At 45.1% G+C, this 18,195-nt stretch overlaps 1 protein-coding gene across 6 annotated transcripts in view; it reads left to right on the forward strand.

The window, feature by feature from the left end:
• The window catches only part of GPR107 (G protein-coupled receptor 107), an 86,259-nt gene that overhangs the window by 30,653 nt on the left and 37,411 nt on the right, over positions 1-18,195 (forward strand). For all 6 annotated transcript variants that reach the window (XR_007061336.1, NM_001136557.2, NM_001136558.2 and 3 more), the window contains exons 7-12: positions 1,862-1,918; positions 6,318-6,425; positions 7,690-7,823; positions 14,899-14,974; positions 16,071-16,144; positions 16,548-16,665. Coding sequence is in view for 5 of the 6 variants with exons in the window: in NM_001136557.2 (NP_001130029.1) it covers positions 1,862-1,918; positions 6,318-6,425; positions 7,690-7,823; positions 14,899-14,974; positions 16,071-16,144; positions 16,548-16,665 (567 nt within the window). In the remaining variant the exon portion in view is untranslated. The remainder of the gene's footprint in view (positions 1-1,861; positions 1,919-6,317; positions 6,426-7,689; positions 7,824-14,898; positions 14,975-16,070; positions 16,145-16,547; positions 16,666-18,195) is intronic.

Below are 18,195 nucleotides of genomic sequence, written 5' to 3' on the forward strand. Positions count from 1 at the left end.
ATTGAGCCCAGGAGTTCAAGACCAGCCTGGGCTACATGGCGAAACCTTATCTCTACAAAAAATAGAAAATTAGCGGGCATGGTGGTATGCGCCTGTGGTCGCAGCTGTTCTGGAGGCTGAGGTGGAAGGATCACCTGAGCCTGGGAGGCTAAGGCTACAGTGAGCTATGATTGTGCCACTTCACTCTAGCCTGGGTGACAGAGTGAGACCCTGTCTCAAAAAAAAAAAAAAGGAAAAGAAAATTGATTTCTAAGTTGCACAGCACTTACATGATGTAGGATCAGGTAGTTAGGGAAGGAAGATGCCAAACCATCAGAAAAGCCCTCTGGAAGGAGCTGTCGCCGGGGCTGAGTCTGGAGTTTGTTCAGGGAAGAGAAAGACAAGGGAGGGGAGGAAGAATGCCATACGCAAAGACTGGATGATGACAAATGCTGAGCACTGGCTCGTTTGAAGTAAAAGACACATATTTGGGAGCAGAGAGAGGTCTTAGATAATATAGGGCCAAGCAATAGAGGAATTGATGAGCAGGCTACGGGAAGTCATCCTGAGTTCCTGATTGGGAAAGACTGTTTATTAAAGATCATAATTCTGAAAGTGACGTGAAGGGTAGCCTTGGAGAAGGAGAAAGGGTTGTTAGAAGGACCAGGAAGGACACAGTTGTGAGAATACAGGTTTCGGGTGATGAGGATCTGGACTAGAGCAGAGCCTTGGATGGTAAACGACTGGGAAGCCAGTTAGGGTCATGGGAGGGAAAGAGAGGAGCAGAGGAGTGGGTCGTAGAAATAGCAGAAGTGGAAAAACTGGGAAAGTTTTGGTTGGCGATATCTTGATTTCTCCATGAGGGGGACATCTAAATGGTGATGTTTTGTCTTAACAGCTTTGTTGAAGTATAATTGACCTAAAATAAACTGTAGATATGTAAAGCAGCAATCTGATAACTTTGACTTATCAATCAAGGTAGTGAAATATCCATCACCCCAAAAATTTCTTCTGCCTTTTTGTAAGCCCCCTGTCCCCAAGCAATCACTGATCTGTCACTGGGGTATAGATTAGTTTTATAGAACTTCATATAACTGAATTATGCAGCACTCTTTTCTGTCTTATATTCAGCATAATTACTTTGAGTTCATCCACATTGTTGCATGTATCATTTCTTTTCATTGCTCAGTTTTACTGTATAAATGGCAATATTTTGATTTTTTTTTTTTTTTTTGCCGGGGGGAACGCAGTCTTGCTCTACCACCCAGGCTGGAGTGCAGTGGCACGATCTCAACCTCCACCTCCCAGGTTCAAGCAGTTCTCCTGCCTCAGCCTCCGGAGTAGCTGGGATTATAGACACGCACCACCACGCCTGGCTGATTTTTGTATTTTTAGTAGAGATGGGGTTTCACCTTGTTGGCCAGGCTGGTCTTGAACTCCTGACCTCAAGTGATCTGCCCACCTTGGCCTCCCAATATGTTGGGATTACAGGCGTGAGCCACTGTGCCTGGCCAATATTTTGGTCATTTGATGTCAGGAGTGGAATTCAGGGGATGTAACAGGGCATGGCCTGGGTCAGCACCCTTAGTCTGACTGAAGCTTCAAGGGTAGACAAGCTGTCTAGCCGAAAGATTCAAGGCAGGGGGTGGAGGTAGGGGTTAGTGCAGAGGCAGAAGAGACAGGTGAAGAACAACTACCATTCTCTGTGAAAGCAGATTTCAGCCATCTCGAAAGGATAGTTGGTTTTATTTTCAGAGAGCTTTTTTGAAGGTCAGCAAATTTAGAGTTTAAGAAACATGTTTTGTTTTGTTTAATAAATTACTTTTAATTAGCATGCTTCTATGCCGGTGTCATCCTAAAACATACTATTATGTCTTTTTAGGCCATGGGAGAGAAATCCTTTTCTGTTCATAATAATGGTGGGGCAGTGTCATTTCAGGTATGTATGCTCTTTGTGTAAAGCCTCCTAGAATTTCTCTCTACCATGTAAAAGGGTAATTTTTTTTTAGAGGAATTTTGAATTTAGGAATAACAACTTAGGTATGCCCTGTATCAGTCACTTAAATGCAGTAGCTCTCCTTATAACAAGCCCACAAGGTGGATATTGTTACCCATCTACTTATCAAATCAGAAGTCTCTGAGAGTGAATAACTTTGTGACTATCTAGTGTAGGTGACACGGTACAGTTTCCAACCCAGTCCTGCCTGGCTGTTCCCATGACCCCTTTGCCCCAATCCCATGCTACCTCCCATTCAAAGTGTGCCAGAAGCATAGTACCCCATTCTGAAAGGACCATTGATGATGATTTACGGTGATGTTGTAATTTTAGAGATGATTTCACCTAGACTCAGAGGCTTTGAGTGACCTGCTTAGCTGTCAGAGTTATTAATTGCCCATGAGTGTTTAGGGGCAGCATAATAGCATACGTATGGGAACAAGATACTGGACTGGGCCTCAGAACCCACTTACTAGCTGGGTGTATTGGACACCTCACTTCATTTCTTTTTGTTTTGTTTTTGAGACAAGGTCTCACTCTGTTGCCCAGGCTGGAGTGCAATGGTATAATCACGGCTCACTGCAGCCTCAACCTCCTAGGCTCAAGTGATCCTCCTGCCTCAGCCTCCCAAGTAGTTGAGACTACAGGCATAGACCACCATACCTGGCTAATTTTTAAATTTTTTGTAGAGATGAGGTCTTGCTCTGTTGCCCAGGCTGGTCTTGAACTCCTGGGATCAAGCAGTCCTCTTACCTGGGCCTCCCAAAGTGCCGAGATTACAGATGTGAGCCACCTTGCCTGGTCTCACTTACTTTCTGAACCTCACTGTTTAATCATCTAAAAATAAAAAATGGCAGGGCGTGGTGGCTCACGCCTGTTATCCCAGCACTTTGGAAGGCTGAGGTAGGCGGATTGCTTGAGCCCAGGAGTTTTGAGACCAGCCTGGGCAACATGGTGAAACATCTCTACAAAAAATACAAAAATTAGCCAGGCATGGTGGTAGATGCTTACAGTCCCAGCTACTAGGGAGGCTAAGGTGGGAGGATCACTTGAGCCCAGGAGTTCAAGACTATCCTGGGAAATGTGGTGAAACTTCATCTCTTAAAAAAAATTACAAAAAGTAGCCAGGTGTGATGGCATGTGCCTCTAGTCCCAGCTACTAGGGAGGCTGAGGCAGGAGGATTACTTGAGCCTGGGGGGTCAAGGTTCACACAGTGAACCTCGATCATGCCACTGCACTGCAGCCTGGGTGACAGAGTGAGACCCTGTCTCAAAAAAAAAAAAAAAAAAAAGCCTACAGTGAAATGCACAGGTCGTGTCTTAAGTATACGGTTTGTTCAGTACTGACAAATGCATATATACCCATGTAATTCACTGTCTCAATATTTCTGTGTTTCCATCTTCTGCGAAAGCCCCTCTATCCCCATAAGCACTGTTCTGATTTCTTTTTCCATGGATCATTTTGCCTGTTCAACAATGTTTGTATGTTCTTTAAGCTTAGTAACCATCATTTTCGTCGCCATCCTTATTAATAGCTAACGGTTATTGAGAACTTGCAGGGTGCTCATTTGCTCAGAACCCTCCAACAGCTTTCCATCTGTCTTGGAGTAAAGCCCAGGTCTTCCCACTGGTCTGCAAGGCCCATGTGGTCTAGCCCCTGTTGTCTCTCTGATCTCAGCTCCTGTTGTTCACACTCTGCTCTCCCACACAAGCCGCCTTGCTTTTTCTCGGACAGATCAGGCTTTAGGCTCTGCTCTCGCTGTTCCCACAGGCAGGAATGCTGTCTCTCAGAATTCCGTAAGTCTTTGCTGAAATGTCACCTTCTCAACAAAGCTTCTCTTGTTTGTAGCTCACTCCTATTTCCCTCATTGTGCTCTGTCTTTCCTTAGTATTATCACTTCCAACATGCTGTATACTGTACTTAGTTATGTTTATTGCCTGTCTCCCCCTCTACAGAAGATACCTTAAGGGCAGGGGTTTTCTGTCTCTTATTATTGATGTATATGAAACTCCTGATCTTGGCCTTGGGCCTATATTTATAGAGACTAATGAACCAATACCAGGCATTGTGCTAAGTGCTTCTATGTCATTATCTCAGTTAATCCTCTAAACAACTCTGTGAAGTCGGTATTGTTATTTTTTCTCTTTTACCAATGAGAAACTGTGCTCAGAGAGGTAATGTAACCTGCCCTAAGCAGGGGATTCAGATCCACGTTTGTTTGACTCCAAGGCCCATGTGTTTAACCACTTTGCCTTTTACTGCCTCCTTGAGAAAATACAAAAGGCACTTTTCTCTCTTCCTTCTCTCACTTTAAAATGCTTGTTAATAAAATGAGTTTTTAAAATGTTTTTCAGGCCAGGCATGGTGGCTCACACCTGTAATCCCAGCACTTTGGGATCACAAGGTTAGGAGTTTGAGACCAGCCTGGCAAACATAGTGAAACCCCGTCTCTACTAAAAAAATAAATAAATAAATACAAAAAATTAGCTGGGTGTGGTGGTGGTGGGCGCCTGTAATCCCAGCTACTTGGGAAGCTGAGACAGGAGAATTGCTTGAACCCGGGAGGCTGAGGTTGCAATGAGCCGAGATCACGCCACTGCACTCCAGCTCGGGCGACAGTCTGAGACTCCATCTCAAAAAAAAAAAAGTTTTTCAAATGCTTCCCTCTTTTTTAATCACAAAGGAAAGTGTTACAGGATGCACACGTGTCAGGCACCAGTACTTTGTGTCAGGCGAACATCCAGGCACAGCAGTCTGCATGGTGATTAGCAGCACGTGCTGAAACAGCCCATCCGCAGGGTTCTTGGGATGCGTGGAGCAGGCAGTGCATGGGTAGCTTGCGTTTCTCTGGCTTTCCCCCACCTTGGAAAGAAGTCGTCATGATTTCTCGCTGTTCTACCCAGTGTCTCCCAGTCTTGGATGGTGCAGTCCACTCTGAGCGCTTCTGCTTCATTCATGGCGTGGGGATAGTGGTTTATCTACCTAAATACAGGAAGGGGACTGTCAGGGCTTACTCCAACTCTAGAGTTGACATTTTTGTTTTGTTTTTTTCTCTAAGGGTCAGATGCCTACTCTGATCAACTATGATGATTCTATTGATTTTTTAAAAAAAATTATATCTTTTAAACTTTCATATCTTTTTTAGACTTCCCCTGAATCTTTTAAAATAGAAGTTGTCCATGTGTTTAGAAAAGTTTTCTTATTCTGGCTAGCTCAGGGGATTAAAATACACATTCACATTCACCATTGAGTTTGGCACATGGTTTAACATATTAATCATTCCAGCTCATGTGTTCTTGGTCTTTTATTTTTATTTTTGTCAGATGTCTATTTTTCCCCGTTTTTTTAAATTGTGAGGTACAGTATACATGCAGAAGAGTGTGAAGCACTTATATTGAGTTTTAACAAGTAACTATGAACAGTCACCTTTATGATCCACCACCCAGGACAAGAAATAGAACAGTTCCAGCACCTGAGAAACCTTGTGTCTCCCTCGCAGTCCTTCCCAACTCTAGAGCAACCCGTCATGAAAAATGCTACCGTAGTCACTTCCTAGCTTTTCTTTGTAGTTTAATAGGTATATATATGTAGCCCTAAAAATGTATTTCAGGGAGATTTCTTTTTATTGGTAGAACTTATGGCTGAAGTAAAATTTTCTTAGGCTTGACCAAGAAGTCATATTCTCTAAGTCTGTCTGTCTTTTGGTTTACATTAAACTTCATTTAAACTCATGAAATGTATGAAAAACAGAAAACTGTCTAAATGTAGAAAATGTAGCCTTTATTATTCTTCTCTAAAACCATAGTTGTAAATTTTGATGAGGAAATATTGATTGGTTTTCAAGTATAAGATGAGCCTCCTTTTTAAAGAGTATTTTATACCTATAAAGAGCAAAATAATACGTTAGCTTGAAGACTAGATAACCACATCTTAGGTTATCTTTGAAGACTTCCACAAAGCCATCACAAATGGCTAGATCTGTGATAAAACAGGCATAGTAAAATGTTCACTGTAGAAGTGAGGTTGTGGCTATGTATCTTTCACTATACAATTGTCAGCTGTTCTGTATGCTTGAAAATTGTTGTAACAAAATATCGGAAGGGAATCATAGAATAAGAAGATATCTCTTTAAACTCTGCCGTGGGAGAGTCGATAATTTAAGCAGTCTGTCTTTATTTCCTTCAATCCATTAATATTCATAACTTATTTCTAAGGTTTAGAAATATAGCTGAGTAGAATTTGAACAAAAAAGTAAACAATACTTTAAAAGAAAAAATAAAAGAAAAAATATATATCGCTGAGGATTTGGGTACCTTTAAATGTTTTCTTCTTCACTTTCAGTTTTTCTTTAACATCAGCACTGATGACCAAGAAGGCCTTTACAGTCTTTATTTTCATAAATGCCTTGGAAAAGAATTGCCAAGTGACAAGTTTACATTCAGCCTTGATGTGAGTACTGTTTGGAGATTGTTCTACGTGGATTTTGTCAGCATAAAACGGGAGATTTGTTTCTGTATAAGATTAGATTTTAAGAATACTTAAGAAAAGAATGTGGGCAGACACACATTCCTGCCACTGTGCAGGATACTTCAGCAGAGGATTCATAGGAAAATACAAAGCAATTTAGGATGTGTCTGCACTTTAACCTGTGCGTTAAGAATGTGGTTGTTTTGGCTGGGCATGGTGGCTCATGCCTGTAACCCCAGCACTTTGGGAGGCTGAGGTGGGCAGATCACCTGAGTCCAAGAGTTTGAGACCAGTGTGGGCAATATGGCAAAACCCTCTCTCTACAAAAAATGTGAAAAATTAGCCAGGCGTGGTGGTACACACCTCTAGTCCCGGCTACTCAGGTGGGAGGATTTCTTGAGCCCAGGAGGCAGAGGTTACAGTAAACCGAGATTGCATCACTGCACTCCAGCCTGGGCAAAAGGGTGAGACCCTGTCTCAAATTAAAAAAAAAAAGTGGTTGTGTGGTTATTTGCTGGTACTCACTTTTTTTTTTTTTTTTTTTGAGATGGAGTTTCATTCTTGTTGCCCAGGCTGGAGTGCAATGGCATGATCTTGCCTCACCGCAACCTCCATCTCCTGGGTTCAAGTGATTCTCCTTCCTCAGCCTCCTGAGTAGCTGGGATTACAGGCGCCTTTCACAATGCCTGGCTAATTTTTTTTTTTTTTTTTCCAGACGGAGTCTTGCTCTGTCACTCAGGTTGGAGTGCAGTGGTGCAATCTTGGCTCACTGCAACCTCTGCCTCCTGGGTTCAAGTGATTGTCCTTCCTCAGCCTCCCAAGTAGCTGGGATTACAAGGGTGCGCCACCACACCTGGCTAATTTTTGTGTTTTTCGTAGAGACAGGGTTTCACCATGTTGGCCAGGCTGGTCTTGAACTCCTAACCTTGTGATCCACCTACCTCGGCCTCCCAAAGTGCTGGGATTACAGGCGTGAGCCACTGTGCCTGGCCCTAATTTTTTTTGTGTTTTTAGTAGAGACGGGGTTTCACCATGTTGGCCAGGCTGGTGTTGAACTCCTGATCTCAGGTGATCGTGATCCACCCGCCTCAGCCTCCCAAAGTGCTGAGATTACAGGTGTGAGCCACCATGCCCAGCCACTGGTACTTACTTTCTTAAGCTTAAGTGAAACAACTGAGATTCCAAATTGCTGAATAAGGGATGATATGTTTCTGAAAAGTAAAAATTAATTTCATGCTGGTTTCAGATTGAGATCACAGAGAAGAATCCTGACAGCTACCTCTCAGCAGGAGAAATTCCTCTCCCCAAATTATACATCTCAATGGCCTTTTTCTTCTTTCTTTCTGGGACCATCTGGATTCATATCCTTCGAAAACGACGGTAAACTATTTCTCCCTTCAACTTAAGAGTGTGTTGAGATTTGAATAATGTCACTGTTTGTTGGCTCCTGAACCTGGAGGCAGTTGTCACTTAGCAGTGTTGTTCCTTTCAAAGGGCATCTTCCCGGAAACAGTATGAAGATTGTGCGGGAGCATTATGGTGTGGGAGCCCTTTGCATGCCTTGGTGTCTGTTCACTTCCTGTTGTTTTGTTTAAAAAGCAAATCTAAATTATTATAATTTTTTTTTTTTTTGAGACATAGTCTCACTCTGTATCCCAGGCTGGAGTGCAGTGGCGTGATCTCAGCTCGCTGCAAGCTCCGCCTCCTGTGTTCATGCCAGTCTTCCACCTAAGCCTCCCAAGTAGCTGGGACTACAGGCGCCCGCCACCACGCCCGCCTAATTTTGTTTTTGTATTTTTAGTGGTGATGGGGTTTCACCGTGTTAGCCAGGATGGTCTTGATCTCCTGACCTCATGATCTGCCCACATGGGCCTCCCAAAGTGCTGGGATTACAGGCATGAGCCACCGTGCCTGGCCCTAAATATTTTTAATGGTATGCAAGCAAAATAGACTGTATAAGCTAAGTGTTTCCATGGTGGAGATCCCACAGTCCAGGACTGAGAGTAAACACATGGGTCTCATTCAGGGGCTGTTGCTTCTGGAGAGGAAGTTAGTGACGATGAGCACTGCCTGGCGAGAGCATGGAGTTACTGCTTAGAACTGAAGGTCTTGGCTCAAAGCTGCACTGGGATAGATTCTCTGCATTGACTTCCAGATACTTGTCACTGGACAAAACCTCTTCAAAGCCCATCTGCCTGGCTTTTAGCCTTTTTTTTCTGAAACCCCCGAGGCTTTAACTTCCTGTACTTGGTTCTTGAGGGGAGCAGCTGCATATGCGTGAATTCTTTCTCCCTCCAAGAAAATTGAAAACAAAATATTAATATTCATTTAGAGAATCGTGTAAAGTATTTATTATAAGGCTCATAAACTGAGTAAATGATAGTATGCGAATATGCTATTATAATATGGATTGATTTAAATTCATAGAATAATTAAGCACCCTGAAATACCTCTTTCTCTGGAGCATTGGGGTGGAAATTGAGACTTTTTAAGTCCTTGGTAGCTTGATTGTCTTCTAATGAACATGCTCGGAGTCTGGTATATTAGACTCTGGCTGGGTTCAGTTGCTGGTACCTATTTGTTGTGATATCCTGTACACCCACCAGATAGAAAGAGTTTCTTGTTTACTTGGGAAGGAGCTACATAATCATGTTTGGACTAGATTTTCAAGCAGCAATTACTAAGAAAAATCCTATGGGCGAGGTGTGGTGGCTCACACCTGTAATCCCAGTGCTTTGGGAAGCCAAGGCAGGAGGATCACTTGAGTCTGTGAGTTTGAGACCAGCTTGGGCAACATAGCAAGACCCCCATTTCTTTTTTTTTTTCAAGATGGATTCTCACTCTCTCCCCTAGCCCCCAGGCTGGAGTGCAGTGCCTAATCTCTACTCACTGCAACCTCCACCTCTGGGTTCAAGCGATTCTGGTGCTTCAGCCTCTGAAGTAGGTGGGATTACAGGCATGTGCCAACATACCCAGCTGATTTTTATATTTTTAGTAGAGACGGGCTTTCACCATGTTGGCCAGGCTGGTCTTGAACTGCTGACCTCGGGTAATTTACCTGGCTCAGCTTCCCAAAGTGCTGGGATTACAGGCGTGAGCCACCACACCTGGCCCAGCAAGACTCCATTTCTACAAACAAATTTAAAAATTATCCAGTTGTGGGCTGGGCGCGGTGGTACACGCCTGTAATCCTAGCACTTTGGGAGGCCGAGGTGGGCGGATCATGAGGTCAGGAGATCGAGACCATCCTGGCTAACACGGTGAAACCCCATCTCTACTAAAAATACAAAAAATTAGCTGGGCGTGGTGGCAGGTGCCTATAGTCCCAGCTACTCAGGAGGCTGAAGCAGGAGAATGGCGTGAACCTGGGAGGTGGAGCTTGCAGTGAGCTGAGATTGTGCCACTGCACAAAATTAAAAAAAAAATCCAGTTGTGGTGGTGCACACCTGTAGTGCTCACTACTTGGGAGGCTGAGGTGGGAGGATTGCTTGAGCCCAAGGGTTCGAGGCTGTAGTGAACTATGTTTGTGCCACTGCATTCCAGCTTGGGACACAGAGTAAGACTCTGTCTCTAAGAAAGAAAGAGAAAGAGGCAGATGGAAGGAGGGAAGGTTATAAAAATTTAGGCCATTAAAGTTTTTGGGTGGGTTTTTTTATTTTGTTTTGTTTTGTTTGTTTTTGTTTTTTTTTGTTTTTTTGAGACACAGTCTCGCTCTGTCGCCCAGGCTGGAGTGCAGTGGTGAGATTTCAGCTCACCGCAACCTCTGTCCCCCAGGTTCAAGCGATTCTCTTGCCTCAGCCTCCCGAGTAACTGGGATTACAGGTGCCTGCCACCATGCCTGGCGAATTTTTGCATTTTTAGTAGAGACTGGCTTTTGCCATGTTGGCCAGGCTGGTCTTGAACTCCTGACCTCAGGTGATCCACCTGCCTTGGCCTCCCAAAGTGCTGGGATTACAGGCGTGAGCCACTGCGCCCGGCCTCTGTTGTTTTTTTTTATTTTTTATTTTTTATTTTTTTCAAAGAAAGTTCTACTTTTGCCTTTACTGGAAAAGTAAGAACTAGGAGTCAGACCTGATTTCAGGTGTGAACTTGGACAGTGACTGCCTGTGTGCCTTGCTTCACTGTAAATCTCTTTTTTTCTTGGCTATGAAACTGGGACAGTAATAGTTACTCTGCCTTCCTGTAAGAGTCTTGGATTCTTAGACATGTTGTGTGATTCTCCCTAAGATAATGTGTATGAGAGGGCTTTGCAAATCAGGGCGCAATCCAAACATGAGGTGTTTATAAAATAGTTTAGTAGCCAGGGGTTCAGTGGTGTTTTAATTTTCCTTTAGTTATTGGTGGCAATAGTCATTGTCACTGGTTCACTTGTATCAAATTGTGGTAACAGTTTTCTTTATTTTATTTTTTTTGAGACAGAGTCTCGCTCTGTCGCCAGGCTGGAGTGCAGTGGTGCAATCTTGGCTCACTGCAACCTCTGCCTTCTGGGTTTGAGTGATTCTTCTGCCTCAGCCTCCCAAGTAGCTGGGACTACAGGCGTCCGCCACCATGCCTGGCTTATTTTTGTATTTTTAGTAGAGACGGGGTTTCACCATGTTGGCTGGGATGGTCTTGATCTCTTTACTTCGTGATCCACCTGCCTTGGCCTCCCATTGTGCTGGGATTACCAGCATGAGCCAGTGCACCCAGACCGTGATAACACAGTTTTCAATCTGTGGTTAAATGAGGCTGACCTATTGTGTACAAGTCTCATCTGTAATTTTTGTTGGAGTATAGTGTGCATGGGGGAAGGTCAGTTAAGTCCTGCCCATGTTTTCCCGGGAGTCTTAGAGTCAGTTCTGGTAGGCTGGAAACCCACATGATATAAAGGCATATGACCAAGGCCGCCAGGCGCATTTCACTGGCCCCTGAAAGCTGGAAACGACTAAGAGATCTTTGCCTCATTTATTGAGGCCCAGAGAGGGGAAACGAGAGCCAGTGTCACCCAACAGACCTGGGACTGGAACTCGGGTCTGCTTGCTAGTATGTATCAGGCCCCTCCCAACTTCAAGTGTAGGTAGAACTAGTATTTGAGCCGAGGTCAGTGAGTATTCTTTCCATCACATCTCTGCCCCATCGTAGATATTCTAACCATGGACTGCAAGTCAAGGTTGCCAGAGTGTGAATGAGCACAGCTCTTTGTGGTGGGTGGTTTTACACTCTGGGTAAATCTCATTGGCATTCAGTAGTTCCAGGCTATTCTGGCCTTGACTTCCCTTTTGACCTTCAAGTAGGTGGGCACTGGAACAGGAAAGTACCAGGGAGGAAATGAGCCCAGAAACTGATATCCCTTTGTGGTACACTCTCATTCTCACTTGGTGCCAGGCCCCTCTCCTGCTCTATTGTTCCCCTTCATTTCCTGTCCCCTCTCCCACTCCTTCCCAGTAGTGGAGAACTGCTCAAATGTGTTGCATATACATTTTTGGACTTTTTTTTTTTTTTTTTTGAGACCTCGTCTCACTCTGTGCCCCAGGCTGGAGTGCAGTGGTGCAATCTCAGCTCACTGCAACCTCCGCCTCCCGGGTCAAGCAATTCTCGTGCTTCAGCCTCCCGAGTAGCTGGGACTACAGGCGCCTGCCACCATGCCCGGCTAATTTTTGTATTTTTCGTAGAGACGGGGTTTCACTACGTTGGCCAGGCTGGTCTAGAATTCCTGACCTCAGGTGATCGGCCTCCCAAAGTGCTGGGATTACAGGCGTGAGCCACTGCGTCTGGCCTGATTTTTGGATATTTCTATATTCTTATAGATAAGTACTGTTTACTGGTGTTGCATTTATTTTAAGTTTACATAAAATATCTATAGACGTTGTTGTACATTTTTTACTCAGTATTATCCTTTCTGCGATCTAGCCATGTGGCTGAGTGTGCATCTCATTCATTGATTTTTACCTACTCCACAGCATCCCATGCTCTGTGTCCTCACGTTTGACTGCTTTGGTCCTTTAGTGATAGACACACGCCTGGACTGCCTACATCTCCCTGCTACCTCAGCCAGTGCTGGCATGTACCTCCAAAGATCCCCTGTGGATCTGTGCAGCCTCCGAGCTGCAGTCCCAGAAGGAAGCACACTGTGCCATGGGTAGTTAATTTCTTTTCTTTACTTTTCTTTTTTTTCTTTTTTTTTTTTTTTTTGAGACAGAGTCTCACTCTGTCACCCAAGCTGGAGTGCAGTGGCACCATCTTGGCTCATTGCAACCTCCACCTCCTGAGTGCAAGCGATTCTCCTGCCTCACCCTCCTGAGTAGCTGGGACTATAGGCATGTACGCCCATGCCGGGCTAATTTTTGTATTTTTAGTAGAGACGGGTTTTCACTGTGTTGGCCAAGCAGGTCTTGAACTCCTGGCCTCAAGAGATCCTCCCGCCTCGGCCTCCCAAAGTGCTGGGACTACAGGCATGAGCCACTGCGCCCAGCCATCAGTTAATTTCGTTAAGGGCCAGATTGCCTTCCAGTGTGGCATATAGGTTTATACGTCTACCAGTGGTGCATACATAATAAGGTTTGCTGTTTCTCCACATTCTTACCAATACTGACATCTTAATTTTTGCCAATCTGATAGGTGTAAAGTGGTATCTTGCTTTATTTTGCGTTTCTCTGAATATTGGTGATGTGGATTATCATTTTAGAGACTTAACCATTTCCCCTCTTGTGGCTGCCTGTATTCTTTGGGTTTTTTTTTTTTTTTTTGAGACAGGGTCTCACTAAGTTGTCCAGGCTGGAGCAGTGGCGTAATCAAGGCTTACAGCAGCCTCAAACTCCTGAGCTCAAGTGATCCTCCCACCTCAGCCTCCCGAATAGCTGAAACTATAGGGACGCACCACCACTCCTGGCTTAATTTTTGTTTGTTTTGAGACCGTTTTGAGACAGGGACTCGCTCTGTCACCCAGTCTGGAGTGCAATGGCACAGTCACGGCTCATTGCAGCCTTTGCCTCCTGGGCTCAAGTGATCCTCCCACATCAGCCTCCCAAGTAGCTGGGACTACAGGTGTGCACCGCCACACCCAGCTAACTTTTTGTATTTTTGGTAGAGATGGAGTTTTGTCATCTTGCCCAGGCTAATCCCAAACTCTTGGGCTTAAGTAATCTTCCCACCTCAGCCTCCCTAAGTGTGGGATTACAGGCATGAGCCACTGCACCTAGCCTCATAATAGTCTTAATATGTTCTATTAGGTTAATTCCTAAGGGGAGGTGGGAAGGAGTAGAGGAATTTAATGCCCGGCAGCCGAAAGGTGGACTAGTATCTGTGATGGGGTGGGCATGGGAATGGGTGCTTTGTCTCATTGGCCTGGGGTATTTGCAGACACCAGCCATGAAGGAGAGAGAAATGGGCATGACCCTGGCACTTTCTCCTCACACATCCCTACTGCTGGCTCCCAGTCCCCCTACTCTGGGCTGCAGACTTCCCCTACAGCTATTTGTAATCGCTTTCTGCTTTCCTAGGAGTTCTGTGCTGTTTTCTCAGGTCCATCTACCTCATTCTTGCCTCTGGCTTTCCCAGGGTGGTTTCCGGGAACAAGCTGGCAGCCTGTGTTAGATTTCCATTTACTCAAGAGTTGGAATCCATCATGTCTAGCTTTGGTGCATAACTCTCAGGTTCATTCACAACATTAAATTGTGTATTAGAGATTACTTTAGGACTCCATTCAAGGCCTTTTTTACCAGCAAAACGTACTTTATAAAAAAAGTGGCTGGGTGTGGCGGCTCACCCCTGTAATCCCAGCACTTTGGGAGGCAGAGGCGGGTGGATTACTTGAAGTTACAAGTTCAAGATCAGCCTGGCCAATGTGGTGAAACCCTGTCTCTACTAAAAATACAAAAATTAGCCAGACATCTTGGCGCACGCCTGTAATCCCGGCTACTCAGGAGGTTGAGGCGGTGGGGGGGCATCACTTGATCCCGGGAGGTGGAGTTAGCGGGGAGCCAAGTTTGTGCCACTGCACTCCAGCCTGGGTGACAGAACGATACTCTTGTCTCAAAAAAAAAAAGTTTTAGCTGGGTACAGTGGCTCATGCCTGTAATATCAACACTTTGAGAGGCCGAAGTGGGTGGATTGCTTGGCCAGGGGTTCAAGACCAGCCTGGGAAACTTAGCAAAACCCTTTCTGTATAAAAAATACAAAACAAATTAGTTGGGCATGGTGGCATACACCTAAAGCCATCCTCCCACCTCAGCTTCCTGAGAGCTGCTTGATCGCTTGAGCCTGAGTTCAAGGCTGCAGTGAGCCGTGATGACACCACTGTCCTCTAGCCTGGGCGACAGAATAAGACCCTGTCTCAAAAAAAAAAAAAAGTTTCATGTTTGTGGTTTGCACAGATTATATTTCCTGTCTCCTTATAAATATAGCTAATGTCTGGAGCTTTGGCTGTCCTTTGGGAGAATGGAATCTTCCTTTAATTGTTTTCTCTCTGTTTTTATAGGAATGATGTATTTAAAATCCACTGGCTGATGGCGGCCCTTCCTTTCACCAAGTCTCTTTCCTTGGTGTTCCATGCAGTATGTATTAGCATTTTGAGGATCATTCATGAAATTACGTATAATGCCTGTGTGAGCAGGCAAAAGAAATTTGAAGAAAGGGGATAGATTGGTGGGAAACAAAGACAAAGAATACATTTCTCATAAAGCCTCCTCTTGTCTGGGAGGGCCTGGCCATGCGGGTAAATGATTACCACCTCCCCTCATATTAGACTTCAGACATCTTCTAATACTGCTTACAGACCTACAGTTTTTCTAGAACACTTATTATTGTTTTTATTTCTTTGTTTTTGGTTTGTTTTGTTTTTTTACCATTTCTAGAGATGAGAGTGCCACCTGCTGACTTGTTTCCACGACTTTTTTTTTTTTTTTTTTTTTTTTTTTTTTTTTTTTTTTTTTTTGAGACGGGGCCTCGCTCTGTTGCCCAGGCTGGAGTGCAGTGGCGTGATCTCTGTTTACTGCAAGCTCCTCCCCTCAGGTTCACGCCATTCTCCTGCCTGAGTCTCCCGAGTAGCTGGGACTACAGGCGCCCGCCACCACGCCCAGCTAATTTTTTTGTATTTTTAGTAGAGACGGGGTTTCACCGTGTTAGCCAGGATGGTCTCGATCTCCTGACCTCGTGATCCGCCCGCCTCAGCCTCCCAAAGTGCTGGGATTACAGGCATGAGCCACCACGCCCGGCCTCCACGACTTTTTTATGTTTCCAGATATTCCCTCATGTTCCTCTGTGATTTGAAGTTCAATTCAGTATTAGCATATTTATCTGAGAGAAAATTGATGCTATAAAGCTGGAGGCATGAGAATTGAGCCTCAGCTTTGTATATTTGGAACTTATGCAAATTAAAATGAACTTGCCCAAGGGGGTAAGATCACAACTTCTCCTGTCTGTGGGCCTCCAAGTGCCCGTGGAGCACACTTGCAAGGATGACAGTCTCTAGACATGTACTCTTTGCTGTACTTGAAAGTGGCCTCCTTGGAAAAGGCAATAATATATCCAGTGGCAGCGTCACCAAATGACAATGATTTGGATAATTTCCCAAATGGGTCCAAGTTAAAAGATTCTTTGTGGAGCCATGTAGATAATGAGTGATTCTGAAATGCAGTTGTTTGATTTCAGATTGACTACCACTACATCTCCTCCCAGGGCTTCCCTATCGAAGGCTGGGCTGTTGTGTACTACATAACTCACCTGTAAGTATGCAGGTCCATGTGAAATACACCATGAAATGACATACAAGACAAGGGGGGTGGGCAACAACCTGCCCCAAGTTAACCAGCCCTGCCCTCCTGTGGCAGCCTGTCTGGGCCCCTGCCATACCAGAGGAGTGTAGCTCATGGGTGGCTGTCCAGACTTGGGAAGTCGGGCTTAGTGGCATACTCCTGCCTCTCTGCGGCCATTGGCTGTCCAGGCTGTGGGGTGCAGAGCTAACTGTGTGCCCTGAAGGAAGTGGTGCTCATGTATGATGGATTTCCTAAATTTGGCTGCCCGTCTTTTGTAAGAAGCTTGTGAACTCATAGAATGAGCTATGCAATCTAACTGGCAGTGAGAGTCTAAAGAGACCTGCTGGTGTCTGTTCCTTGTTTTCTCTTCCAGTTTGAAAGGGGCGCTACTCTTCATCACCATTGCACTCATTGGCACTGGCTGGGCTTTCATTAAGCACATCCTTTCTGATAAAGACAAAAAGATCTTCATGATTGTCATTCCACTCCAGGTAAAAGAACCCTCATCCCATTTGTCACTTCCTTTCTTGGCGCTTAGCAGGGCTCAGCTCCAAGCCTGTATGGGAAGAGGGAGTCACCTCACCCTGAAACCCCAGCTTCTGCTAGTGGAGGTTGAAGACTGAGATTCTCTTTCTGAATTCTGAACAGACTTCAGGTCATTGCACTGGGAGATGCTTGGGCATCAGTCAGCCACTGGCCTTTGGGGGCCTAGATTTTGAGTAGAGAGCTGCTGACAGTGACAGGGAGACACACAGTAACACACAGTACTGTTTTCTCTTCTGCATCATTTGCTTCATAACTAAATGGTGCCCTTGGCAAGGAAGCTCAGAGATGTAGTGATTTTATTAACAAAGTATTTTAAAACCGTGAACTACACCAGTGAGTTTCCACAGGTAGAATATGGTAGTAGACGTGAGGGGCAAACATTTCCTAAATCCTTACCATGTTTGGGGCCGAGGGCCAAGGCCAGCCTTACAAGGCTGTGAGTCTTTTGCGGGAGGAGCCTTGTCTTACTGGAAGCAGAACTTGGATGTAAAGAACTTACAATGAACAGAGAGGTTTTAGCAGGGATGCACAGCTACCCTGCTCTGCTTGACCAGACAGCGTCTGTTTGACAGAGTTGTCCCTGTGAACTTTTCTCACATTTTGGAGCACAAAGTAAATGTGGAAGGTTGGGGGTGGAAGGGGACAACTCCTGAGGCACCCAGATCAGCCGTCCCAACTCTGGCAGAGTTTGCAGCAGAGCTCCTCTCGGAGTTCTAACAGACCTCATCCACCCTTACGTTCAATAATGAGGAACATGTGTTGACATCAAATGAATGGGACAGGCCAGTTGCTCTGTGTTTCCAAGGAGAGAATAAGCACTCAAGTTGGAAGGATCAAGGAGGGCTTTGTGACAGAGATAGGGCTGGCCTGGGTGTTGAAGGAAAGGAATGTGACAGAGGCAGTAAATACACATGACCCTGCTGTCTGCTAAGCAAAACATGCTGAGGGACTGTGCCGGTCTTTCGGCTGTCGAGCCACCGTGGTCACTTCTTCAGCCAGACTGAGTCCTACAGCCTGCCGAGGTCTCGGAGTTGTGAATGACGGAGACTGGGTTGTCACCCGGCTGCGTGTGCCTCTTCCCTTTAGTAGAGTCCCTCATCCCTCTAGAGTCTCCCCCCACCAGCCTGAACCAGGCTGTCGTGGGGCATAGCCTTCCAGGAAGCCCGTCCTGGGCTTCCCTGAAAGACAGACACACAGAGTTCCATGGAATGTCAGTCTGAGAAGATAAGGACATTTAACAAATTAAGAAAGTCATGAGTATTTAGACAATAGAACTAGTCTGGGAGGGCCTTAAATGTCAGCCTGAAAAGTTAAAACTGCTTCCTTTTGGCCATGGGCAGTGACAGAAAGTTTCTAAGTAAGGAGTAGATGATGTCCCTGCAAAATGGTGTTTCAGGAACACTCTTGGCACGTTGTTCAACACTGGGAACATTCTGTCTCTCATGCAGTGTGTGAATTAAGGACAAAATGGAATT

The sequence above is a fragment of the Homo sapiens genome, chromosome 9 (assembly GCF_000001405.40).
Source record: "Homo sapiens chromosome 9, GRCh38.p14 Primary Assembly".
Taxonomy (NCBI): domain Eukaryota; kingdom Metazoa; phylum Chordata; class Mammalia; order Primates; family Hominidae; genus Homo; species Homo sapiens.